This window comes from Homo sapiens, chromosome 11 (assembly GCF_000001405.40).
Source record: "Homo sapiens chromosome 11, GRCh38.p14 Primary Assembly".
Lineage (NCBI taxonomy): Eukaryota > Metazoa > Chordata > Mammalia > Primates > Hominidae > Homo > Homo sapiens.
In genome coordinates, this window is record NC_000011.10 from 66,678,964 (window position 1) to 66,703,857 (window position 24,894).

The following is a 24,894-nucleotide window of genomic DNA, read 5'->3' on the forward strand; positions in this document are numbered from 1 at the left end:
GGTGACAGAGCAAGACTCGGTCTCAAAAAAAAAAAAAAAAGAAGTTTAGGCTGATTCCCCACTGTCACCTTCCAGCAAAGAGTAGCCTTTTATGGAGATTGATGGATTGGGTTTATCTCCTAGTAGAGCCCGCCAGGGAGGTTGTCAGCCACCATTCCTCATTTTAGTGGCTCCATAATGGCTTCTCTGATACCATCTGGGACACATTCCCCAGGCTGCCCTCTTCCACCCCAGCTACTTGGATATGTTCTTTACCTGAGTTCTTTTTGTTTCTCAGCCATTTCAGAAGAGGCACTGTCCTTCCAATTTTATTTTATTTTTATTTTTTGTTTAATTTTTTAAAGACAGAGTCTCACTGTGTCGCCCAGGCTGGAGGGCAGTGGTGCGATCTCGGCTTACTGCAACCTCCACCTCCTGCGTTCAAGCCATTTTCCTGCCTCAGCCTCCCGAGTAGCTGGGACTACAGGCGTGCGCTACCCCCCAGCTAATTTTTGTATTTTTAGTAGAGACAGGGTTTCACCGTGTTGGCCAGGCTGGTGTCGAACTCCCGACCTCAAGCGATCCGCTGGCCTTGGCATCCCAAAGTGTTGGGATTACAGGCGTGAGCCACCTCGCCCGGCCCTTAACTATTATTACTATTATTTTTGAGTCAGGGTGTCACTTTGTTGTCCAGGCTAGAGTGCAGTGGCACCATTATGGCTCACTGTAGCCTCGACCTCGCAGGCGCAAGTGATCTTCCTATCTTAGCCTCTGGAGCAGCTGGGACCACAGGTGTGGGCCACCCCATCCAGCTAATTTAAATTTTTTTTTTTTGTAGAGATGGGGGTCTCACTGTGTTGCCCAGGCTGGTCTCAAACTTCTGGGCTCAAGATGTTTCCACCACAGTCTCACAAAATGCTGGGATTCAGGTGTGAGCCACTGCACCCGGCTTATATGTGCTGCTAATTTAAAATAGCACTATCCTATGTTAATATTATCTAATGTTTATGCCCAAATTTCTCCTGGATTGTTACAAATGTCTTTTTACAGTTGATTTCTTCTAATCTGGACTTAAACATTGTACATTTGTATGCATTATGTAAATGGTGTGTTTTGAGTTGTATAGCTGTGTCTTACTATTTTTCCACTAAGGGCTATGTCGCCGCATGATGTCTAACTAGCGAGTAACGCAGTCCTCTGTGGTGTACAGTCACATATTGTACCTGTTCATCTCTGGGCATAGGGCACTCAGCTTCCAGCTCTCTGTCATTATAAACAAGGCTGCAGTGAACATGCTTAAGTATGTGCCCTAATTCTGTGTGAGAATTTGGGGGGATATAAAACCAGAGGTGGAATTGCTGGGTCATAGAGTATACGTAGAACTCACCTGTCTAAGTAGCACTGAATTCTCTGGAAAAGCTGCACCAGCATACTCTTCCACCTGTAGCATATGAGGGGCCTTGTATCTCTACATCCCTGCCAGTGATAGACATTATCCGCTTTTCTAATTTTTGTCAGTCTAATAGATATAAAGTGATATTTCATTGTTGCTTTAATTTGTATTTCTCTGGTTACTAATGATTTTAAGCATCCCTTCTTGTTGTCTTTTTTTTGTGTGTGATGGAGTCTCACTCTGTCGCTCAAGCTGGAGTGCAGTGGTACTATCTCGGCTCACTGCAGCCTCTGCCTCCTGGGTTCAAGCGATTCTTCTGCCTCAGCCTCCTGAGTAGCTGGGATTACAGGCGTGTGCCACCACCACGCCCGGCTAATTTTTGTATTTTTAGTAGAGACGAGGTTTCACCATATTGGTCAGGCTGGTCTTGAATTCCTGACCTTGTGATTCGCCCACCTCGGCCTCCCAAAGTGCTGGGATTACAGGTGTAAGCCACCACGCACAACCTTTTTTTTTTTTTATTAGACGGAGTCTTGCTCTGTCGCCCAAGCTGGAGTGCAGTGGTGCGATCTCAGCTCACTGCAACCTCCGCCTCCCAGGTTCAAGCAATTCTCCTGTCTCAGCCTCCTGAGTAGCTGGGACTACAGGCACGTGTCACCACACTTGGCTGATTTTTGTATTTTTAGTAGAGACGGGGTTTCACATTGGTCAGGCTGGTCTCGAACTCCTGACCTTAGGTGATCCACCCACCTTAGCCTCCCAAATTGCTGGGGTTAAAGGCGTGAGCCACTGTGCCCAGACTTGTTTTTTGAGAAAGGGTCTTGCTTTGTCATGCAGGCTGGAGTGCAGTGGCACGATCATAGCTTGCTGTAGCCTCTAGCTCCTGGGCTCAAATAATCCTCCTGCTTCAGGAGGCTGAAGCCCTCAGCCCTCAGCCTCCCAAGTAGCTAGGACTATATGCCCAGCTAATTTTTTTGTTTTTGGTAGAGACGAGTTCTCACTATGTTGCTAGTCAAACTCCTAGCCTCAAGTGATCCTCCCACTTCAGCCTCCCAAAACACTAGGATTACAGGTGTGAGGCAAATACACCTGGCCTCTTGAATTTTCGAGTTTATGCTTCTGTAAATTTCCTGTTCATATCTTTTGCCCATCTTTCTTTTCAGGTTGTAGGCTCCTTTTTTGTTGTTGATTTGTAAGGCTTTTTCATATATTCTAATCTCTTATTGGTCTCAAATACCATCTCTCATTCCACTAATTATTAACTCTGTCCATGGTGTCCTTCATTGAACAGAAATCCTTATTTCTTGTGCAATGAAATTAATTTTTATCTTAAAGCTGTGCTTTTGAATTTTTTTTTTTTTTTTGAGACAGCCTGTTGCCCAGGCTAGAGTGCAGTGGTGTGATCATGGCTCACTGCAGCCTCAACCCCCCAAGCTCAAGCAATCCTTCCATCTCAGCCTCCCAAGTAGGTGGGACTACAGGTGCATGCCACCATGCCTGGCTAATTTAAGAAATTTTTTTTGTAGAGATAGAGTTTCACTGTGTTGCCCAGGCTGGTCTTGAACTTCTGAGCTCCAGTGATCCTCCCATCTCGCCTCCCAAAGTGCTGGGATTACAGGTGAGCCACTGCACCTGGCCTGCTTTTGAACTTTTGTATAAGATGTTCTTTTGTAGCCTCCTTAGTCACAAGATATTCTCCTACATTTTATTCTATTAACGTTAGGTTTTTGTTTTTGTTTTTTGGGGGGATGGAGTTTCACTCTTGTCCAGGCTGGAGTGCAGTGGTGTGATCTGGTCTCACTGCAACCTCCGCCTCCCCCTCCCAGGTTCAGGCCATTCTCCTGCCTCAGCCTCCCGAGTAGCTGGGACTACAGGTGCGTGCCACCACGCCCGGCTAATTTTTGTATTTTTAGTAGAGATGGGGTTTCACTATATTGGCCAGGCTGGTCTCGAACTCCTGACCTCAGGTGATCTGCCCGCCTTGGCCTCCCAAAGTGCTGGGATCACAGGCGTGAGCCACTGTACCCGGCCTATTAACATATTTTTTGCCTTTTGCATTTAGGTCTGGAGCCCATTTATAGCAGTGCTATCCAATAAAAATATGTTAGCTACATATGCAATTTTAAAATTTCCAGCAAACACATTTAAAAAGTCATCAAAATAGTTGAAATTCACTTTAATGATACTTTTGAAACCCAATATATCTAAAATATTATTTCAACACATAATCAATATAAAAATTAAGGTATTTAAAGTTGTTGTCCTCTTCCATGCTTCATACCTGGTGTTTCAGAGTCATGACACACTTGGTTTGGCTACATCTCAGTAGCCACACATGGCTGGGTGGCTGCTGCTGTGGACAGCATGGACCTAAAGTCCACTCTTGTAGGTGATGTTAAGAATGCAAATATATTTTTCTCTACATAATCCTATTTTTTTTTTTTTGAGACAGGGTCTCACTTTATTGCCTAGACTGGAGTGCAGTGGCATGATCTCGGCTCACTGTAACCTCTGCTTCCCAGGTTCAAGCAATGCTCCTGCCTCAGCCTCCCAAGTAGCTGAGACTACAGGCACATGCCACTACACCTGGCTAATTTTTGTAGAGATGGGGTTTCACCATGTTGCCCAGGCTGGTCTTGAACTCCTGAGCTCAAGTGACCCACTCACCTCGGCTTCCCAAAGTGCTGGGATTATAAGCGTGAACCACCATGCCTGGCCAAGTAATCCATTTTTTTTTTTTTTTTTTTTTTGAGATGGAGTCTCGCTCTGTCACCCAGGCTGGAGCGCAGTGGCGGCATCTCGGCTCACTGCAAGCTCCGCCTCCCGGGTTCACGCCATTCTCCTGCCTCAGCCTCCCAAGTAGCTGGGACTACAGGCGCCCGCCACTACGCCCGGCTAATTTTTGTATTTTTAGTAGAGACGGGGTTTCACCGTTTTAGCCGGGATGGTCTCGATCTCCTGACCTCGTGATCCGCCCGCCTCGGCCTCCCAAAGTGCTGGGATTACAGGCGTGAGCCACCGCGCCCGGCCCAAGTAATCCATTTTTATCTGCCATCTCTCTCCATTGATTTGTGCTGCCTGCATTTATTGTATTTTTGTGTCTAACTTGTCTCATAGCCCTCACCGCCCCATTCCATCCTGTTGTCTTTCCTGGAATTTTTTCTTTCTTCCACTCACAGCTGAAGGTGTTTTCTGACTTAATTCCTGACACTATGCTTCCCCTCTTCTATGTCCTGTTCTTAAGGAATCATGCCCTGAAGTCCTGCTGCCGCATATGCAGATGCTGCTCGGGGTCTTCAGTCTCACCTCTCCGTTGACAATGCCTGCCCCTACTGCAGGACTGCTTCAATTGGCTGTCCTATTTACACTTACGTGTCGTGTTAAAATAATCATTTCTCTATTAATTTCTCCATATACATTTCCTTCTGACATTTCCAATTATTGTTTCCCTTCAGTGCCCCCAGGCTTGCCAGCTTGGAGTGCAAATACCTAGATTCCCTGAGCACCCCCAAGGTATGACTGTCTCTTCAGTGGAGATTTTACAGTTGTATTTGAAGAAAAGATGCTGTGTAGTGCTGATGGATTCTTCCACTTAGTCCCATGACAGATTGTTCTAGTTACGCGTATCCACCTGTTGGCTGTGGAACAGTAAATCTACCCATCTTAAGGGGGAAATTATCCTGCAGGCTCTCTGGTCTACCGGTTTGGAGCCCACTCTGGGGCTGTGATGTGCTAGTTCTGGGCCTGCACACACCTAACTCGGTCTTCGTCATGACTGATGATAGGCCCGCAGTCAATGACTAAAGATGGGGCTGCCTTCCTGGAAAAACGGTTGTCTGTGTGTATAGGAAACAATGAAAGAACACGCTTTTCCTGTTGGAGGCCACCAAGGAGTGCCCACTTCCATCAACATCTGGAGACAAACACTGTGCCCTGAAAGCTCCGATTGCCAAACCAGAGACAAAGGAGAAGCCACCCGCTCCTTTCTAATACTTCATCAGATCCAGAAGGTAGTCTCAGCTGGGCATGGTGGCTCACGCCTGTAATCCCAACAGTTTGAGGCCAAGGTGAGAGAATCACTTGGGCCCAGGAATTCGAGACCGACCTGGGCAACATAGTGAGACCCCGTCTCTACAAAAAACAAACAGACTTAGTCGGGTATGATGGCATGTGCCTGTGGTTCAGGCTACTCGGGAGGCTGAGGTGGGAGGATTGCTTGAACCCAGGAGGTGGAGGTTGCAATGGGCTGTGATTGCGCCACTGCAGTCCAGCTTGGCTGACAGAGTGAGACTCTGTCTCAAAAAAAAAAAAAAAAAAGAATATATATTATCCTCTGTGTGTATATTTACATGCTTGGGCTGTAAAGTCACCTCATGGCTTCCCAGAGTGACTTCATTCTGTTGATCAGTTTATTGGAACCTGCCACTTCTCAGATCCCTGTCTGAGGTCCCTTGATCTACTGGAGAGCAGACGGCAAGTGGGGGCAGTAAGCACCCGCTGTGTGCTCAGCTTTCCACCACTGGGCTGAGCAGTGGCTGAGACTGGCTGGGGCTGTAGCAATGCTTCCCAGTCTTCCAATTTGAAAACAGTTTAGAGATCACAAGTGAAGAAAATTGTGCACCAGGGAAGGAGTCCCTCATTGCTTTTTAACATGAATACTGCTTGTTGACATCATCCCAACCCATGGTGAACTACTTTGGTTTAAAAAGAGGCTTGGCATTGGTCAACCCAGCACACTGGAGGTCACTGTCAGAGGGAAATGAGACCAGGTCAGGGAAGCTCTCAGTGTGACACGGCTCTTCAAGAGCTTGGAGGCTGGGGAAACGTGAGATGAAGGAGACCAGAACGGAAGGAGAGGACACAGGCTTGGGCAGAGAGGCTGTGGTCAGGAAAGCAAAGACACCCAGAGGCGGTGAGAGAAGCTGAGCTGTTTAATCACCTCCTTGGCCAGACTCAAGGCGGTGGCTGTCCCCGAACAACACACCTGGAAGCCATTGAGAGCAGCTGGAGATGGAGTGGCAGCTGGAGTTACAGGGTGGGGGTGGGGAGGGAGGGCTCCTGCGCCTCTGACTGTCATCTGGCACTTCTGCCCCCAGGGCCTGCTTCAGCTCTGAGAGGTTCCTGGCTGGTCTGAGGGGTGAGGAACCAGAAGGCAGAAGGCGAGTGCCCTCGCATGGCAGGAGAATGACCCTGAGGCAGGGGCAGCCACTCCCCACATGGCCTATGTTGAGGGTGCGGCACTGTCCACACCGTGGTGAGGGACAGAGGCACGAGGCTGGGGAAAGGGGAGAAGTCGGCGGGGGTGGGAGAGGGGGTTACCTGGGTCCCACCACCAGTCTGGAATTAAACAGCAGAAGAGAAGGGCTGCCCTTGGGAACATGGACTCGTCCCCAGTGACAGTTCCTGGTGATGGGTTGACCTTGGCAACAGACCCTAGCAGCAGGCAGTTGTCCTGACAAGAGGGCGGTCCCTGTCGACTGTCCCTGGCAGTTTCCTGAACGGAGGGAGGGAGTTGGCCTGGGACCTTGCCCCCAACTACTTGTTCTTCTTAAAGAAGCTGAAGCGTTTTTCTCGCTCTCGTTCTCTGCCGTCTTTGCTGCGGAGCACAACAGGCCCCTCAGCCCCGACGGGTGACACTGGGGGCATGGTCATGGCCCGGGTCATGCCCCGGGTGGTGCTGGGCACCACCGGCTCTTCAGGCTCTCCAGAGGCAGAAGACGCTGTGGCAATGGCTGCATTCACCACCCGTAGCCACGAGCTCATCTCTGCCTGTGGATGGAAAGACCCTCAATCAGCTTCAAGGACACTGTGCTGAGTTGGCCGCAGTGGACAGCAGGGAAGTGTAAGAGGAGGAGGCAGAAAGTGAGCTGACTGTTTCATGCTATTAGGAGAATGTGGCCGGCTTAGACAGGGAGTGCGGCCTGGTGCGGCCGTCGCACACATCCAGTCTTACCACAAAGGACAAGACCAGGAAAAAGAGGGAGGACAGGGAAAGAAGGGGAGTCTGCAGCTGGAAGCTTCTGGAATGGCACGGACAGAGAGGAACACGAAGGACAGCTCACCTCATCCTTGGCCTGGAATAAATATTCTTTTCCATCCTGTAAGCTGTTGGGAGAGAGAGGCCACAGGGCAGAGCTGAGAATCCGGATCTGCCAGGTAGCTGCTGGTGAGAGCGTAATCATGACCCAACACCAGGCTGGGACATCTGGCTGCAGCCCTCAGAGCCGGACCAGACACGCTCTGCACATTCTTCAGCTTCCCCAGACTGTGCAGAAGCACATCCTTTCTGACTGGCCCCAGAGGCAGGGGGAGCTCACTTCCACCCCAGCCCGGGCCTCCTGCTCCGGCTGCTTGCTGGCAGGCAGGGACAGGCCCCTGGAGGTCTTCCCAGATCCCTACCTTTGGATTTCCCACCCTGGGTAATTTTTCACCTTGACATTGGCAGCCGTCAGGCCTGGGTCTTGGTTCTCCTGCTCCCCTTGGTGTGGAGACAACCAGAATCTCCGCCTCCCTCATCTACACTATCCCCAAGTGGCTGGCCTGGTTACTCCACTCAGGCTCCTTACAGGAACTCCCCTCCCTCTGGACCTGACTCATGGCTCACCTGTGTCACTCCCAACTCTCCTCCCATCCCGAGAGCACTGTTCCCTGTTCCTACCCCAGCTTGAAGACATGTTTGCGCTTTCGGTAATCAAAGGCGACGCTGCCCTGGGCCCTGGCCAGGCTGACAGGCACTTCTCCGTGGTATGGCACTCCCGCGCTGGCTGCCTTGGCATCCTTGTAAAAGCCGAGGCTCCCACGCCGCAGGACACAGTACACGTTCTGCCAGGACCTGCGAGGGACGCGGTGCTGACTGGCCGGCCTCAGTGGCGCCCGCAACCTGGAGCCCTCTTGGGTGTCCTAGGACTTCCAGTTCTGCTCCCATCTTTAGGCCACGGTCTTCACACCCTCTGGTCCTCCCCTGAGGCCCCGCTCTGGTCCCAAGTCCTACCCTTTGCCCAGAAGATGTACTCTAAAGGGCATCCCTCCCTCTATCTGGGCAGAGGCTCTGGGGAAGTGCCCTCTGAGAGCAGGCTCCAGAGAGGCTGTACCTGTTGGCAGCCTTCTTCCCGAAGGCCTCCATCTCCTGCTTGCGGCACAGCATCCCCTCCATCTGCTCCTGGGCAGATGGCTCTGGGCCTCGAGGCGGCAGGGTGGCAGCATGGGCTGACTCGGTAGACCTGCTCTGGGGCATTGCAGATGGGGCCGGGCCCCGAGTCCGGGTCTGCCTCTCTCCCCGGGGCCCATTGGCTTCGTCCCCTGAGCCAGGTCCCTGGGGGGGAATCAGTGTCAGTGTCAAAGGTTGAGACGGGAGATCCCTAACCTGGGTGCCAGGAAGCTCCGTGTCCAGGAGTTGGTCTTCCTGCCCCCAAGCTGCCTGTGAGCCTCTGCCCTCTCCCATCCCATCCCCAGTACTCCCCCACCCGCACTCACCACCCCCTCTGGACCCTTCGCCTCACAGTTATCAACACCACACTTGCAGGGGAACTCACCGGCCCTTCGGGGAAGCTGCTGTGCTCAAGTCTCTGTTGTCCCAGCAGGGGCTGCAAGGACAAGAATCTGTAAAAGGATGTGCGGGGGTGGAGGGGCTACGACTCCGATGGGGGCACAGAGGGACAGTGGGGTCACCTGTGAGGGCTCTCCATCTGTGCAGACTCCATTAACACTGGGTGCTTGTGTGGATGGTGGTGGCCGTGGCTGGGTTCTGGGATGACCAAAGGCAACACAGAATCATTAGTCCCTGGGTGGCCTGGGCTCAGCCGCCTCCTCCTACCCAGGCATCCTGGCTCTCACCCGTCCCAGGTGGTGTCAGAAGCTGTCTGGCCGCCCACCAGGTCCCCTGGAGGCACACTGGCTGTGGGTTCGGGAGCAGGCGGCTGTTTCCGCCGCTCCTCCTCCTCCCTCTTTCTCTTTCGCTCCTTCTCCCGCTCCTCTAGCTGTCAAAAAATGCTGCATTCAGCGTGTAGAAGGTTGCGTGTAAGAGGGCCAGGGAAACAGGGAGAGCTGAAATGTCTCAACTCTAATTTGATGAAATATGATAAGAGGAGAACAGAATTTGAGAAGATGGTGGGGACAAGAAACAAAGCGGGAGAAGGTGTCTCGGCATCACCCAGGGGAACTGACACCTCCTAAAGGTGTGGTGACAATGGCACTCTCAGCTCACATCTGGGGGCCACTGGTGCAGTGGGAAGAGAGAAGACATGTCTTCTCCAAGCAGAAGCCAGCACAGGTCAGGGGAGCAGGTTGGAGTGGGCATCCGGGGTCCTGTGTCCCTCACCGCAGTAAGCTTCTCCAGCGCACAGAATCGCTCCTCCCAGGCCACTGCTGACTTCTGGAAGGCCTCGTGCCGCTTGATGAGGCTCTCAACTTCGTCGACCGTGCAACCCAGCTCAGCGCTGCGCACCAGTGGCTCCTGGCTGCAGAGCCAGGCCTCTGCCATCCCTGCATCTCTTCCAAACACAAGCACCTCCAAAACTGGCAGGATCGGGGGTTGCAGGAAGATGGTGGGTCAGAGTGGCCACTGGCAGGGCACAGTGGCCATGGCAACCTCAAGAACAGGGACACAGAGAAAGCCACTGCCCCAGAGCTGTGCCAGGCAGCACGAAGATTGGGCATCGTGAGTTTCACACCCAGGGTTCCTAGTCTCACCTACTCTGGAACCCACAGGGTGCAGGATGCCCCCCACTCCCCACAGGGCCTGGGGCCCCCTTGGCAGCTCACCCAGCTGAAGCCAGTCCATCTTCTCCTGCCACTTCTCAGCTGTCTCCTGGCGCCGTGCCTGCAGCTGAGACAGCTTCTCTGAGATCTGGGGGCGGGGGGCAGAGATATGAGTTAGCACCAGGATGTGAGATCTTTCCACGGCCCCTGGGGAGTCATCCAGGGGGACAGGTGATTTCTTTCTTTCTTTCTTTTTTTTGAGACGGAGTTTCGCTCTTATCACCAAGGCTGGAATGCAGTGGCGCAATCTCAGCTCACTGCAACCTCCACCTCCCAGGTTCAAGCAATTCTCCTGCCTCAGCCTCCGAGTAGCTGGGATTACAGGTGCCCGCCACCACGCCCGGCTAATTTTTGTGTTTTTAGTGGAAACGGGGTTTCACCATGTTTCATCACAGCCCAGCCACACAACCCATGGAGGCCAGGCTGGTCTCGAACTCGTGACCTCAGGTGATCTGCCCGCCTGGGCCTCCCAAAGTGCTGGGATTACAGGCGTGAGCCACCATGCCTGGCCCAGGACCAGTGATTTCTGATGTCAAGAGGCAGACGGTTCTGGGGAGAGATTTCCAGAATGCGAGAAACCCGTGAATGGCACTGAGGGGAGAGAATGAAAGGTTTCTTGCAAAGAGAGAATGAGAGGAAGCAGAAAGCCACCAAGAAGTCAGCGTTCAGCACTGCACAGTGAGAATGGCCCGGCCACCCAGGCCTCACCCACCTCCTCGGCCGCATAGTGGCTCCTGGCCAGCAGCTCCTTCCCCATGTCGATGCAGGAGGAGAAGCGGTCTGCCCGGGCCTCTATCTCTGCCTTGATGCCTTGCTGGTTCTTGATGACTAGATCCGCGGAGGACACATCCCTGGGGGGAGGCAGAAACAGCATCACCTGCTGCCCACAGCCCCATCACAGCCCAGCCACACAACCCGTGGAGGCCCTGAGCCCTGGGATTCTCACCGGGGACGCTCCTGGGCATCCATCTGCAGGTTGACCTCATCCATCCAGAGCATCAGTTCCCGGACAGCCTTGAAGAAGCGGAACTTGTCTGTGGTGTCCAGCAGCAGCTGCCGGCGGGCGGCAGAGCTTCCCTGAAGCTGGGCCCAGGCCTCGGCCACGGCCTGCATGTGGCGGCCGATCTCCTCAGCCTTGTCTCCAGCGTAGGCCTTCTGGAGCCGGTGGCCGTCGTCCTGCACCTGCTGGACCTGCGGAGCCCCGGGTCAGAGTCAGGCAGAGCGGGGGACTCCAAGGAGCCGCAGCCTGCCTCAGTCCTGGCTGCCACTCTCACCTCCTGCCTGTCTCACAGCCAAAGAAGCAGGGGGAGGAGCCAGGGAGTGGGGGTGCTGGGAAAGATGAAGGCAGGGGCTGGCCACACTCTGCCCTGTTGGGTCTCATCTAGACACCTGGGCTTAACTGGGGGAGGATCTGGAAAAGAGCCATTGGCCAGTTGAACTTTCAGAGGCCTGTCTAGGATGTGATAGACCTTGGAGATTGCTAGAACGTGCTACTTAGCCTGAAAAGGGGATTCAGGCAGGGGCTGATGGGTTCTAGTGGTTGAAGGAAGGATCCATGCTTACTGAGTGTGAGCCTAGAGCTCAAGCCTGGGAAGCACTAACAGGCTGATTTAGCGCAGCATGAAGAGTCTCCTGGCCACTGGGAACCCCTGAAGACATCATGGGCTCTCAAGGGGGCTTGTCATCAAAAGTGTGAATGCAGTGGCTAGATGTCCCCTGCCAGAGATGTTTTCTTTCTTTTTGAGACGGAGTTTCGCTCTTGTTGCCCAGGCTGGAGTGCAGTGGAGGGATCTCAGCTCACTGCAACCTCCGCCTCCTGGGTTCAAGTGATTCTCCTGCCTCAGCCTCCTGAGTAGCTAGGATTACAGGCATGCGCCACCATGCCTGGCTAATTTTGTATTTTTAGTAGAGAAGGGGTTTCTCCATGTTGGTCAGGCTGGTCTCGAACTCCCAATCTCAGATGATCCGCCCTCCTCGGCCTCCCAAAGTGCTGGGATTACAGGCGAGAGCCACCGCGCCTGGCCAAACAGAGATGTTTTCTTGGAGCAATTTCCTCATCTCGAAATGGCCCTCGAAAGAGTGCCGTCCTCCCAGCATTTCTGAGCTCTACCCTAGCTCCTGGGAACTCTCCCCGGCATTTCCCCCATGGCCTCCTCTAAGCCTCCCCCACCTCCTCATGCTTGGGTCAGACCTGGGGGCTGAGGGCCTGAATGTCATGCTCGTAGGCACAGTGTCGGCGCTGCAGGGCCTCGGCAGCGTTGAGGTCGCGGCCAGTCCCGTCCGGAAGCTGCTGCTGCTTGTGCTGCACCCGCGCCAGGGCTTGGCGTGCCCCGTGCAGGAAGCGCTGCAGCTCGTACGCCGCGGCCAGCACCTGACCCCGTGTGTCCAGCAGCTCAAGCAGGTCAGCCCAGGCCTCGTTGAGACTGTCCTTCCACTCGGCCACGGTGGCCCGTGCAGCATGGCCCCCAGCAATGAGCCCATTGGCCAGCGCATTGGCGCTATCTACGCGCTCCTGACCGATGGTGCTTGTGTCCCGGGAGAACTCTCGGAATTTGTCTCGGAGCATCTGGTAGAGGAAGCAGATGGACAGACCATGCCGTGATGTTAGGGGATGTGGTCCCTGCCTGATGGAGCGAGTCCTCCACTCCAAACTCAGAACCCACCTCTCCCCGCTGCATGGGGGCCGGGACAGGTTTCTTCCCTGTGGTTAAGGAGTAGGTGCAGCTGCTTCCCACTGACCCTGTATTTGACAGACTCCCTCCACCCCCAGCAAAGGCGTTTCAAGGTGCTTGGGACCCTTAGGCTTCAGACAAGGATACCCTAACTATGGTCCATATTTCTGTACGACTGAGGGTCCAAGCCCCCAAACTGTCGGGGGGGTGGATCATACTCCGTTTTGTTGAATTCTGTTGAAAAGTGTGAGTGATAATTTCCTGTTTGCCCTTGTCTCAGCTCAGCTTCATGTCCCCTTTCTGTACAATTCTTCAAATTGTGTGTGTGTGTATGTATTTAGAGATGATAGGGTCTTGCTCTGGAGTGCACTAGCGCAATCACTGCAGTGTCGACCTCCCAGGCTCAAGAGATCCTCCCACCTCAGCCTCCTAAGTAGTTGGGCCTACAGGCATGCACGGCTGTGCCTGGCTAATAAAAAAAAATTTTTTTTGTAGAGATGGGGGGTCTCACTATGTTGCCCAGGCTGGTCTTGAACTCCTGGACTCAAGCAATCCTCCCATCTCAGCCTCCCAAGGTGCTAGGATTACAGGTGTGAGCCTATGCCCGGCCTCTTCAAATCATATACCTCAAAACCAGGAGGACAGTGCCTGCTCAGCCTGGTCTTGCCCCTTAGCCCCTCAGTGCTCTGCCTGGGACTAGGTCCTAGTCTCCCTGTGGGTCCTCCACTCTTCCCACGGTTGATCTGAGCTGGGTGCCCTCCCTACACTCACAGTCACATGCTCGTAGTCCTGGCCCAGCTCGTGGGAGGCCGCCACCACCTCGCGCTCCTGGATCCACTGTTCCAGGTCATCCAGCTCGCGGCGGAGCTGGCACAGCCGGAGGTGCTCCTGCAGGCGCTCCCGCCGCTCTCCAGCCAGCTCCTTCAGGCCGGCATACAGCTTGTCCACCTGGGCTTGGCGGATGGATATCCGAGTGCTGCAAGAAGAGTGAGGGAGGCACTGTGGGACTTAGGGGTGTAGCTCTGACCTCCGGTCTGTTCTGTGGAGCCCTGTCCCTCTGAGTCTCCCAACAGCTCGCCCACCCTGTGTTCCAGCTTTCTAGAAGGCTCCGTGCACACAGCACTGAAGGCTCCACATTCCCTGCACCTTCCTGTTCCTGCAGCCGGCTCCACCCCCAGGCTGGGCCGGGCTGCCGCTGCACCCACCTCTCTGGGTGCTCGTGGTCAATCATGTCCTGGCTGCTGGCCGCCAGCTGGTGGATGGTCTGCGCGTAGTCGGCCAGGGCTTGCTCCAGCACCTGGTGCTTCTTCACCTCTGCCTGGGCACTCAGCTCATCCTGGGGGAAGGGACAGTGGCATCCAGCATCAGGTCAGGGGAGGGCAGAACTGGTCACATACACTGGGCTCTGTCCTGGCCCTCACCTTGGCCTTCTCCTGGCCCATCATGTGTAATTCCTGCTCGCCCATCCAGGCCTCCGCCTCGGCGGCATCGCGGTAGAACTGCTGGGCTCGCAGGGCATCCTCCAGTCGCTTCCCTCGAAGTTCCAGCTCGTGGCCCAGGCGTTTCCACATTTCCTGCAGCTCAGCCAGCTCTGGACCTGCTGCTGCTGCACCTAGAGCACGCTGCCGCTCCCTCAGGTCCGCGATCCGGGGCTCATGGCCCTGAATCTCTTTCTGCAGGGTCTGCCCATGGCCACAGAAGAGAAAATGCTGAAAGTCCTGCCCCAGCCCCACGTGCTCCCGGAGACCACCCTTCACCCCTGTGCCTCTCTCCTTCCTGGGTCCTCTGCTCCCTCTCCTAGCCTGGGGGTGCGATGGTAACACCCGTCAGCCGCCCAGCCCCCACTATCTCCTACTGAGAGGACCCACCCTCCCAAGGTGAGGAAAGACAGCCACTGAAGTCCAGGGTTACACTCAGCATCGAGGGGGGCCTGGTCTTAAGAAAAAACACGTCCAAGTCTGGGCAGGCTCCTGGGAACTTCTCTTTTGCCTTCAGCCTCTGCCTCACCTGGTTTTTCTTCATGAGAAGCTGGACGCTGGGCAGGTCCTTGCCATGCTCCATGGAGCTGGCCATGGGCAGCCGCTCTGTCACCCACAACTGGAAGAGGAAGAGGGGGTCAGTGGAGGCCCAGAGGGCAAGGCAAGCAGCAGGGACTGATTAGTGGGAGTGGGGACACCTGGGGCTACCGCCCTGTGTGTGGGGAACAGTCATCTCTGGTTCTGGGAGGCATCTCCAAGTCTCCCTATAGGGGAGATGGTCAATGCCAAAGAGAAGAGGGAATAGAGCCCTGCTGGCATCTCCCTGGCATCCAGGAGGGAGGCTGGAGAACCACATGGCTGGGGGCAGCTTGCCGTCCTTGGCCCCAGTGACTCACAATCTCATCTTCCACATCGCGGTGGAACTGGTGCTGCTCGCGAGAAGCCTGCAGGCGCCGGCAGCGTTCCCGCATGGGCTGGCACAAGGCCCTGAACTTCTCCTCCACGGCCCTCGAGGTTCTCTCCACCTCCCCTGCACCCTGGTCCTCCTGGGCCAGTGCTTTGGCCTGGGCCTGGATTGCCTCCACCTCCTTCTCTCTCACAGCCATCTCCCATTCCAGCATCTGCAAACCGCCAGGAGGAAGGACATGTTAGCTCTGCATTTCCGCCTTCATGCCCAGCAGAGACACCAACCAGTCTCTATCCAGCCCACTGTGGCTGCTCATCACTGCAGCTCACCCAGGGAGAGCATCCCCTCATGGGCTGGATCAGTGGATCTCGAACTTTATATGCACAAGAATCCAAGGGCAGGGGTTGAAAAAATCCCTATTGGGTACTGTGCTCACTACATGGGTGATGGGTTCAATTACACCCCAAACTTCAGCATCACACAATATAACTTATAACAAACCTGCACCCACACCCGCGAATCTAAAAGATTGAAATTAAAAAATCCAGGGTAGTGTGATAACTGTGCCCATTATCAATTCATTGTCTCTCCATCCCCAATCCATCGTGGCCCTGCTTTGAGACACTGGAACTGGCCCCTGGAAACATTCCTCCTTTGCCAGCAGGCACAATCTAGGCCTTGTCAGCAGAGGGCGCTGGAGGGACACCACAATGCCTAGCAGATGTGGGGCATTCCACGGTTCCAAGGTGCTTTTCTTCCTCCTACAGCAAAACTGTCCACAGTGCGCAAGAGATCCGGTGGCTCTTACTCTCTGGCAAGTTTTGCTGCACTCTAGTGGCCACTTCCTGCTGGCCAGCCTTGGCTTGCTGGCTTCAGACATGCTCTGGCCTGTGATACCCCAGCAAATTTCCAGGCCATTCAGTGGGCCTCCGCCCTCTCCAAGGAGGTCTGAGACTCAGCCATCTTGCTCCTTCCTGGGGGACTCCTCAACCCCAGAGGTGTCAGCTGCTCCCTACACTTCCCATTCTGCATTCTTCAGAGCAGGGACCAGCAAGTCCAGCCCACTGCCTAGCCTTATAAAGTTTTTATTGGACCACAGCTGCACCCCTTTTTAAAAAATTTTTTGAGACAAGTCTCGCTCTGCCACCCAGGCTGCAGTGCAGTGGCACGATCACAGCCCACTGCAGCCTCGACTCTCCAGGCTCAAACAATCTTCTCACCTCAGCCTCCTGAGTAGCTGGGACTACAGGCACACACCACCACCACGCCCAGCTAATTTTTGTAGTTTTTGTAGAGATGGGGTTTTGCCATGTTGCCCAGGCTAGTCTCAAAACTCCTGGACTCAAGTGATCCGGCCACCTCGGCCTCCCAAAGTGTTGGGATTACATGTGTGAGCCACCACACCTGGCCATACCCCTTATTTTACATATAATCCGCAGCTGCTTTTCCTTACAAGGGCAGAGTTGAAGGGCTGTGACATAGACCTTACGACCCATGAAGCCCCAAAAATTTACTATCTGGTGCTTTACTGAAAAAAGTTTTCTGACCCCTGCTATAGAGTTCTCTTTACCACCTTTTACTAATTTATACTTCTGTTTTTTTTTTTGAGACAGAGGCTTGCCCAGGCTGGAGTGCGATGGCATGATCACGGCTCACTGCAACCTCTGTCTCCTGGGTTCAAGCTATCCTCCTCCCTCAGCCCTCAGCCTCCCAAGTAGCTGGGATAACAGGCGTGCGCCACCACGCCTGGCTAATTTTTGTATTTTTAGTAGAGACGGGGTTTCACCATGTTGGCCAGGCTGGTCTTGAACTCCTGACCTCAAGCGACCTGCCTGCCTTGGCCTCCCAAAGTGCTGAGATTACAGGCATGAGCCACTGTGCCTGGCCTAATTAATATTTCTTTTTACTGAAGTTCTCATCGTCAAATTATTAGGGGGTCTGTCTCCTAACTCTAACCCTGACTGCGACATATCCCTAGAGATTCTGATACTGGCTGCCCAAAGAAATGACTCTGGGAAATGCTAGTGAAGGTGTTATCTGCCAGGCCTCAGCTGGCCTCCCAAATCTTGAAAGCTGCAGCCCCTTTCTTCTGCTGTTCACCATCCCCATCAAAGGCCCACAGCACACCTGCTGCTTCTTGAGCAGGATGTTGACGCTGGTGAGGTCCTTGCCGTAGTCATCCGAGTGCAGCTGGGCCTGCAGGCTCTCCAGCCAGCTCTCCAGGGCACAGCAGCTCTGGGCAAACAGCTCAGCTCGGTTGGCATCAAAGAGGCTGCGGGCCTTGGCTTGGGTGGTGGTCTCCAGCTCGTCCCAGCGCCTGTGCAGGTCTCTCAGCTTCTCCGACACCAGGGCTTTCAGCTCTGGCTTCTCAAGGGTGAGCTCTCGCCCTTCCTGGAAGGCAGGACAGAAAATGTCAAAGTGCCCAAATTAGCCTGAACTTTAGAGGCTGAGAGCAGACCAGGGGCCTTACGGGCAGTAGAGACCTGAAGTGTGGGCAATAATTCCAAGTCCTTGTGTGTTCTTATCGACACACTCTTCACGGAGGTTTAAAATCCCTTCTAAACTGCTGTTCCCTCACTGCTGATGAACCCCACTCCTCCTTCAAGACCCAGCTCAAACAGCATTTCAACGAGGAAGCCCTTGCACTCTCTTTAGTTTGGGTTCCTTGGTGCCTGTGGTTTCTGGCACCACACTGCACATTGACTTGAGTTATTTGCCATCATTTTGTATTTCTCAACTCATTACTCTTCACTTCAGTGATAGCAAGTTGAGTCCCACCTGGTTTCCCCACTTCCAGCTTTTCTGCTTGAGGATTTCTGTGTCTGGGGTGGTGAGGGAAGTGTGCTCTCTTGAACTGTGTGGAAGGCAAATTGGAAGAGCCACAGAGTTAACAAGCCCAGAAGCAGCCCTCAACCAGTGACAGACAGGGAGCTGATGGATAAACACACAGCATCCTTGTGCCGTGGCTGTGAGAGTGCTGTGTTCTGTGTTCCATCTACACCCCCGCAGAATGCCCCATGAGGGTTGGGCTCCTGATGCCCATGGGGGTAACTGGCATGACTTCTGTCCCTTCTCATGGCTCCACCCCCCTACTGATCATTCCCGGGGACACCTCCCTAGAATCACTGTTTCAGGGTCTGCTTCTAGGGGAACACAAACCCAGACACTGCCTTCAGGCCATTTTGCAGGTGGCTGTGGCTGTCAGGATGGAGAGCATCAAAGGCTAGCACTGCCTGGGTAGCTTCACAACCCTGAGCACAATCAACACTTGGAAGCACACGCATGTGGTGGTCAGGACTTCCCGGGGCTTCTCTCCCACCTCTTCTTCCATGGGGCCCTGCACACATTCTGTGCTGCTGCTGGACTCACTCACCCCCTTGCTCCCAAACAGGCACTGCCTACCACTGGTTTTCTGTTTGGTTTTCTCTACCTGGAAACATCTTTTCCTCCATATCTCCACTTGTCCAAATTCTACTCATCCTCCATGGACTGCCCTGGATGTTGCTGCTTCTAGAATTTCCATATCTCCTCTCTCCTTATTCCCCAGGCTTCAACGGGGCCACTCTCACAGCACTCATCAGATTCTGCTCTGGATTCGATTTAGCTACCTGCATATATGCCTCATATCCTGGCTACAGTGTTGTTCCTTCAGGGTGGAGCCTACCATGGGATCCCTTTCGGACCCCACGCAGGGCCTAATACAATGCTTTGGATATAGTAGCACCAAGTAAATATTTGCTGAACGAATGGAAACACTTGAAAGCACACTGGTCTCCTTTTGTCCCAACCATCATGCCCTTGAGAAAAGGAAAGTGTCTTTTCGTAGACCCTGCAGTGCCTCGCAGACTGTTGAGCACGTACCATGTTCTGTAGGGATACTTGCTGAGCAGATATAAAGCTTTATCTGTCCTTGACTCTTGAGGAACAGCTGGGTGGGAGACCAAGAACCAGGGACGGCAAGACTCGAAAATAAGGATTGGCAGACTACATACAGCCCACGGGGTAATCTGGCCCACTGCCTGTTTTTACAAATAAAGTTTTATTGGGAAACAGCCATGTTCATTCATTCACTTATTCTCTGAGGCTGCTTTTGCACTACAACGACAGAGATGAGTAGTTGTAGTAGAAACTGTTTGGACTGCAAAGCCTCAGATATTGACCATCCAGCCCAAGCCCTTTCCAGACAAGGTTTGCAGAGCCTGCTGAAGAGCACCATCCTGCTTTGAACTCAGGAACAGTTATGGCGTTAAATCCAGGCTGCAGTTTCGCTACCTGCTAATTTGTACTTTATCAAGGTTCTGGACTCACTGTCCCACTCTTTGTCTCCAACAAAGACGTTTGTTTCCCAGAGGCCATAACTTTCCACCATGGAGCTGTGGCACCAGAACCCCACAATCTCTAACCATGACAAAAACCACGTCCTGGAGCCAGGCCCTCCCCCGTACCATGGGGGACTCTGCCCAGAGGCAGCCCCCACAGCACTGCTCACCTTGTCCACCTTGTCCAGCCAGTCTTTGTTGGCAGCCAGCTCGGCCATGAATGCCTGGTGCTTCTGCCACTTAGTATGCAGGTTGCGGGCCTCGTCATAGGACACGTCCTGGGCTGTCAGCATCTTCTCGTCGATCCAGAGCTTCAGCTGGACCAAACATAAAACAGGGACATTTCCAAGGGAGGGGAGAGGGGGGCATAAAAGCAGGGCCACAGTGAGCCAGGAGAAGTGGGCGCCTTGGGAAGAAGCCATGAAGGGGCTCACAGTCTCCGGTACCTTGTGCTGGACTTATTCTAGGCTCAAGGTGAGAAAGGGATGGCTAGGGAATATCCCGGGGCCCCAGGGAGCCTCACCTCGTGACAATCTTGCAGGAAATGCTGCTGCTCCCGGTTGTCCCGAAGACGGCCCAGAAATTGCTGCGCTGCGTCTTGATTCTTCTTGTGCCTGGAACGACACCCTCTTGTGAAACTCTGGAATTTGCTGTGAAAGGATTGTGACCCTTTGGCTAACCTAGGGGCCTCCATTTCTTCTAGGGGAATAACGCCTTCCGGGAGCACAATGAGGCTACCCAGGAATCCTGACTTCCTTTTAGCCCTGGTTGGGGGTGGAATCTCCCAGCCCTCTCCAACCACTTAGTTCTTCCCCTCTACTTCTCTGTCAGCTCCTGCCCCATCTGTGGGTTTCCTGTGCCACGTTTATCTTTGAGGTCACCCTGTTTCTCCGATTCCCCCCTGGGAACCCTAATTCATGGACTGTCCTCATCAGACCTCCTCTCAATGGAGTCTGCCTTTTCCCGAATCTTGTCGGCGTGGATGTTGCCTTCAGATACCAGCTGGCGGCCAGCCTCCAGGAGCCCGTGGATCCGTTCCCCATTGGCGTCCATGGTGCTCATGAAGTCCTCCAGTTTTTTAATGGCAGCATCAGCAGCCTGGAGTGTCCCTGGCATCTCCGTGTGAGACAGAACATATTCCTGTGTGGGAGGGATGACATTCAGCTCATTTTCCCCAGCACAATTCACCCCCCTAGGAGGGACCCACCCAGGGGCAAATCTGAGAGGTAGGGACCAACAAGCAGACAGGGAGGGTAGCCCAGAGAGCTCTGAAGACAGGGAGGCTGCCAGCCAGCATGGGAGCCTCAGAAAGTCACAGGGAAGCTGGGTGGGAAGGACCTTCCATTCCCCAGCCCAAATCCTGTTCTATCTCACTTCTAGCTCCTGATTCCATTTAACAGTTACATGACAAACTGGGCTTTCTATTTCTTCTAAAGTCAGTTTTAGTAAATTATATTCACGTCTTTTTCATTCTCATTTTTCCTTCTTTTTTCTTTTTCTTTTTTTTGAGAGAGGGTTTCATTCTGTGGCCCAGGTTGGAGTGCAGTGGCATATCATAGCTCACTGCAGCCTCAAACTCCTGGCTCCAGTGATCCACCAGCCTCAGCCTCCCCAGTAGCTGGAGCTACAGGCATGCACCACCATGTCCAGTTAATTTTTTTTTTTCATAGAGATGGGGGTCTCACTATGTTGCCCAGGCTGGTCTCAAACTCCTGAGCTCAAGTTATTCTCCTGCCTCGGCCTCCCAAAATACTGGGAGTACAAGTGTGAGCCATCCTGTCTGGCTCCCATTTTTCTTTTTAAAAAATTCTTCTATTTTCTTAAAAAAATTTTTTTGTAGAGACAAGGTCTTGCCATGTTGCCCAGGTTGGTCTGGATATTCTCAGCCTCAAGTGATCCTCCTACTTTGGCCTCCCAAAGTGCTGGAATTTCAGGTGTGAACCACTGCGCTGCCCCATTTTGCTAGCATGTCCTTCCTGCCCATCCTGCTCCTTCACATTTCCCCGGGTCCCTACTTTGCTCTTCCTCCTGCTTGGGACTTTGCCCTGGACTTTCACCTGGCTGCTGAGCACGCCCTCAGCCTGACGAGCATCCCGCAGGAATCCCTGGAAGCCGTGGGCCTGGGCCAGGCGACCTTGCCGGCTCTCCCACATTCGGCCCAGCTCCTCCCAGCCAGTTCCCAGGGCCTCCAGTCGCTGTCGTAGGAAGAGGCACTGGGGGTCAGCCTGGTCCCGGGTCACCTCCTCGCCCAGGGCTCGCAGCCGGCTATACTCGCTCTGGGCCCGCTCCACCTCTCCCCGCAGGGCTGCATGTTGGGCCAGGAGGGCCTCTGCCTCAGGCAGGGTGGCCGGCCCTTCTTCAGAGGCCACAGCAGTCTGAGTGCGGCCTAGCCAGGCCTGGAAGTCATCCAAGCTGCGCAAGAAGTCCTGCAGCCGCCGCGCCTCCCCCAGCGACTCTTCTCGACGCCGCATGGTGGCCCTGAGGTCCTCCCAGCCGGTCTGCACCTCTCTCAGCCGGGCGTTGATGGCCACTGCCTGAGCGGGATGGCCGGCAGCCAGGGCATTTGCCTCTCGAGTCAGTTCGCCCACCCGGGCGGCGATGGCCTCCAGGTCCCGCTCCGTGCCGGCCAGCTTGCGCTGCAGGGCCAGCACCCCAGCCAGATCGTTGCCTAGGCCCTGGGTGGACTCGATGACTTTGGTCTTCTCTCTCATCCAGGCCTGGGTCTCCGTGCACTCTAAGTGGTAGTTCTGGATGCTCAGGGCTGAGGTGAGAGCTGCCTTCTTGCCGTCTGCCAGACGCCGAAACTGCTGCCACCTGAGAGCAGGGGGAAGGTTCAGCTTCCTGCCCTGGCCAGGCCTGTTTGGAAGCTTCTTCCCTGCTTCTCTCTCTCTTGGTAGCTCCCCTTCACTCCTCCCTTTCTGGCCAGCAGCCGCTTCAGACCACCTTGACCCCCTCTCTCATCTCTTTCATCCTTTTTCCTTCCCCAACATATTCCAGACTGGTTTGCTTCCTCCTTTGTAGCCACCCTTCCAGGCCCTACAAAACCTGCCTCTCACTGCCATCCCCATTGCTTCATTTTTCTGTCAGTTTCCTGGTCCTGCCCTCCCAAACCCACCTGTGGTTGAGCTGCTCCTGGGTGTTGACAATGCGGTCTTTGCCTGGGGGGTTGGCCTTCAGTAACTGCTCGGCAATGTCATTCACCGCGGTGATTTGTGCTGCAAGGGTGTTCATTTCAGGCTCCAGGGTCTCGAACCTGAGAGGGTGGAAGAGCCAGGCGTGAATTGTGGGAGGCAGCGATGTGCCCAGTCCACCTAAGTCCACCTCTCTTAAACACCCAGGAGGGTGTCTCCTTCACCAGGAGGCTTATCTGCAGGAGTCTCTCTGCCTCTCAGCCTATGAGGTTCATAGTATCTGTGCATCAAGGAAGGAACCCACAACTCCCCCAAAACAAGCAGAATAACTGTCATCGCTAGAAATGCTCAAAAGATGGTGAAAGGTAAAGGTCAGGAACAGACACACAAGTCAAACTAGACCCTGGCATGGGGCCAACCCTTTATCAGAGCTGCTCAGCCTCCTGGGACTTCCCCCTTAGCTGCCTATCTGGGTCTCATCCCACTAATATGTGTTAGAAAATGAAGTAATAACCAAAAATATTTGTCTGAGTGATGAAAATGTGAAGGATAACTTCTTCCAGGGACATTTTATGTTTTGTTTTTGAGATGGAGTCTCGCTCTGTCACCCAGGCTGGAGTGTAGTGGTGCAATCTCGACTCACTGCAACCTCCGCCTCCCGGGTTCAAGCAATTTTCTGCCTCCGCTTCCCGAATAGCTGGGATTACAGGTGCCCGCCACCAAGCCTAGCTAATTTTTGTATTTTTGGTGGAGACGGGTGTTTCACTATCTTGGCCAGGCTGGTCTTGAACTCCTGACCTCATGCTCCACCCGCCTTGGCCTCCCAAAGTGCTGGGATTACAGGCGTGAGCCACCTCGCCTGGCCGACATTTGATGTTCTAATAGGGCAGGGTCTGCAAATGTTTTCTGTGAAGGGCTTGATGGTAAATATTATAGGCTTCGTGAGCCATGCAGCTGCTGCGGCAACTATTCAGCCCTGCTGCTGTAGCCTGAAAGCAGCCACGGGCAATACGCAAAAGGGCGAGTGTAGCTCTGTTCCAGTAAAACTTTATTTACAGACCGGGCATGGTGGCTCACGCCTGTAATCCCAGCACTTTGGGAGGCTGAGATGGGTGGATCACAAGGTCAGGAGATCGAGACCATCCTGGCTAACACGGTGAAACCTCGTCTCTACTAAAAATACAAAAAATTAGCCAGGTGTGGTGGCGGGTGCCTGTAGTCCCAGCTACTTGGGAGGCTGAGGCAGGAGAATGGCGTGAACCCGGGCGGCGGAGCTTGCAGTGAGCCAAGATTGTGCCACTGCACTCCAGCCTGGGGGACAGAGCAAGACTCCGTCTCAAAAAAAAAAAAAAAAAAAAAAACCAAAAAAAACTTTATTTACAGAAACAGGCAGCAGGCTGGATTTGGCCCAAGGGTTGCAGTTTGTTAACCTCTACATTAGGATACCTTGAAAACTAAAAAAAATCTTTAATTACATTTTTATTTTTATTTATTTTTTTGAGACAGGGTCTTACTCTGTCACCCAGGTTGGAGTGCAGTGGCACGATCTCAGCTCACTGCAGCCTCGACCTCTGGGCTCAAGCAATCCTCCTGCCTCAGCCTCCCCAGTAGCTGGGACTACAGGCGCCTGCCACCATGCCTGGCTAATTAAAAAAAAAATTTTGTAGAGGTGGAGTCTCACTATGTTGCCCAGGCTGGTTATGAACTCTTGGAATCAAGTGATACTCCTGCCTTGGCCTCCCAAAGTGCTGGGATTACAGGTGTGAGCCACCAGGCCTGACCTAATTATATTTTTTTAAACACCAGGAAATTTGATTACACATTGATCATAGATCATATCAAGAAATTCCTGACCCGGCGCAGTGGCTCATGCCTGTAATCCCAGTACTTTGGGAGGCCAAGCCGGGTGGATCACGAGGTCAGGAGATCGAGACCATCCTCGCTAACATGGTGAAACCCTGTCTCTACTAATAAAAAAATACAAAAAATTAGCTGGGCATGGTGGTGGGTGCCTGTAGTCCCAGCTACTTGGGAGGCTGAGGCAGGAGAATCGCTGGAACCCGGGAGGCAGAGCATGCAGTGAGCCGAGATCGCACCACTGCGCTCCAGCCTGGGTGACAGAGTGAGACTCCATCTCAAAAAAAAAAGAAATTCCTAATTTTGTTCTATGTGATAATGGTATTGTGGTTCTATAAAAAAATTTTTAAGATTTATTATTGAATAAATGATTTGAAGATTTATTCTGTAAATAAAACTAT

At 53.5% G+C, this 24,894-nt stretch overlaps 1 protein-coding gene across 20 annotated transcripts in view, besides 2 other annotated features; it reads right to left on the minus strand.

Annotated features, from left to right (window-relative positions):
* SPTBN2 (spectrin beta, non-erythrocytic 2) overlaps window positions 3,534-24,894 on the minus strand; it is a 62,186-nt gene continuing 40,825 nt past the window's right edge. For 17 of the 20 annotated variants that reach the window (XM_047427495.1, NM_001437541.1, NM_006946.4 and 14 more), the window contains 23 exons: window positions 22,621-22,758; window positions 21,563-22,319; window positions 20,443-20,645; window positions 20,029-20,119; window positions 19,676-19,822; window positions 17,314-17,577; window positions 15,176-15,400; window positions 14,809-14,898; window positions 14,223-14,483; window positions 14,007-14,137; window positions 13,573-13,777; window positions 12,321-12,695; window positions 11,076-11,320; window positions 10,842-10,980; window positions 10,133-10,217; window positions 9,690-9,886; window positions 9,206-9,348; window positions 9,041-9,116; window positions 8,905-8,955; window positions 8,464-8,684; window positions 8,031-8,204; window positions 7,435-7,477; window positions 3,534-7,141 (listed from right to left, as the gene is read on the minus strand). In XM_047427495.1, coding sequence (XP_047283451.1) covers window positions 6,908-7,141; window positions 7,435-7,477; window positions 8,031-8,204; window positions 8,464-8,684; window positions 8,905-8,955; window positions 9,041-9,116; window positions 9,206-9,348; window positions 9,690-9,886; window positions 10,133-10,217; window positions 10,842-10,980; window positions 11,076-11,320; window positions 12,321-12,695; window positions 13,573-13,777; window positions 14,007-14,137; window positions 14,223-14,483; window positions 14,809-14,898; window positions 15,176-15,400; window positions 17,314-17,577; window positions 19,676-19,822; window positions 20,029-20,119; window positions 20,443-20,645; window positions 21,563-22,319; window positions 22,621-22,758 — 4,495 coding nt within the window. In that variant the 3' untranslated portion in view covers window positions 3,534-6,907. Of the gene's footprint in view, window positions 7,478-8,030; window positions 8,205-8,463; window positions 8,685-8,904; window positions 8,956-9,040; window positions 9,117-9,205; window positions 9,349-9,689; window positions 9,887-10,132; window positions 10,218-10,841; window positions 10,981-11,075; window positions 11,321-12,320; window positions 12,696-13,572; window positions 13,778-14,006; window positions 14,138-14,222; window positions 14,484-14,808; window positions 14,899-15,175; window positions 15,401-17,313; window positions 17,578-17,618; window positions 19,206-19,675; window positions 19,823-20,028; window positions 20,120-20,442; window positions 20,646-21,562; window positions 22,320-22,620; window positions 22,759-24,894 lie in introns of those variants that run through there. The other 3 variants (XM_047427496.1, XM_011545217.3, XM_011545216.4) reach the window with 3 other exon arrangements.
* Window positions 6,815-7,315: an enhancer, noted in NCBI's record as "H3K4me1 hESC enhancer chr11:66453249-66453749 (GRCh37/hg19 assembly coordinates)". NCBI's record gives its function as "activates a minimal SCP1, AML or CMV promoter by ChIP-STARR-seq in primed H9 embryonic stem cells {active_cell/tissue: H9 hESC(primed)}" and the evidence as "EXISTENCE:reporter gene assay evidence [ECO:0000049][PMID:30033119]".
* Window positions 15,854-16,354: an enhancer, noted in NCBI's record as "H3K27ac hESC enhancer chr11:66462288-66462788 (GRCh37/hg19 assembly coordinates)". NCBI's record gives its function as "activates a minimal SCP1, AML or CMV promoter by ChIP-STARR-seq in primed H9 embryonic stem cells {active_cell/tissue: H9 hESC(primed)}" and the evidence as "EXISTENCE:reporter gene assay evidence [ECO:0000049][PMID:30033119]".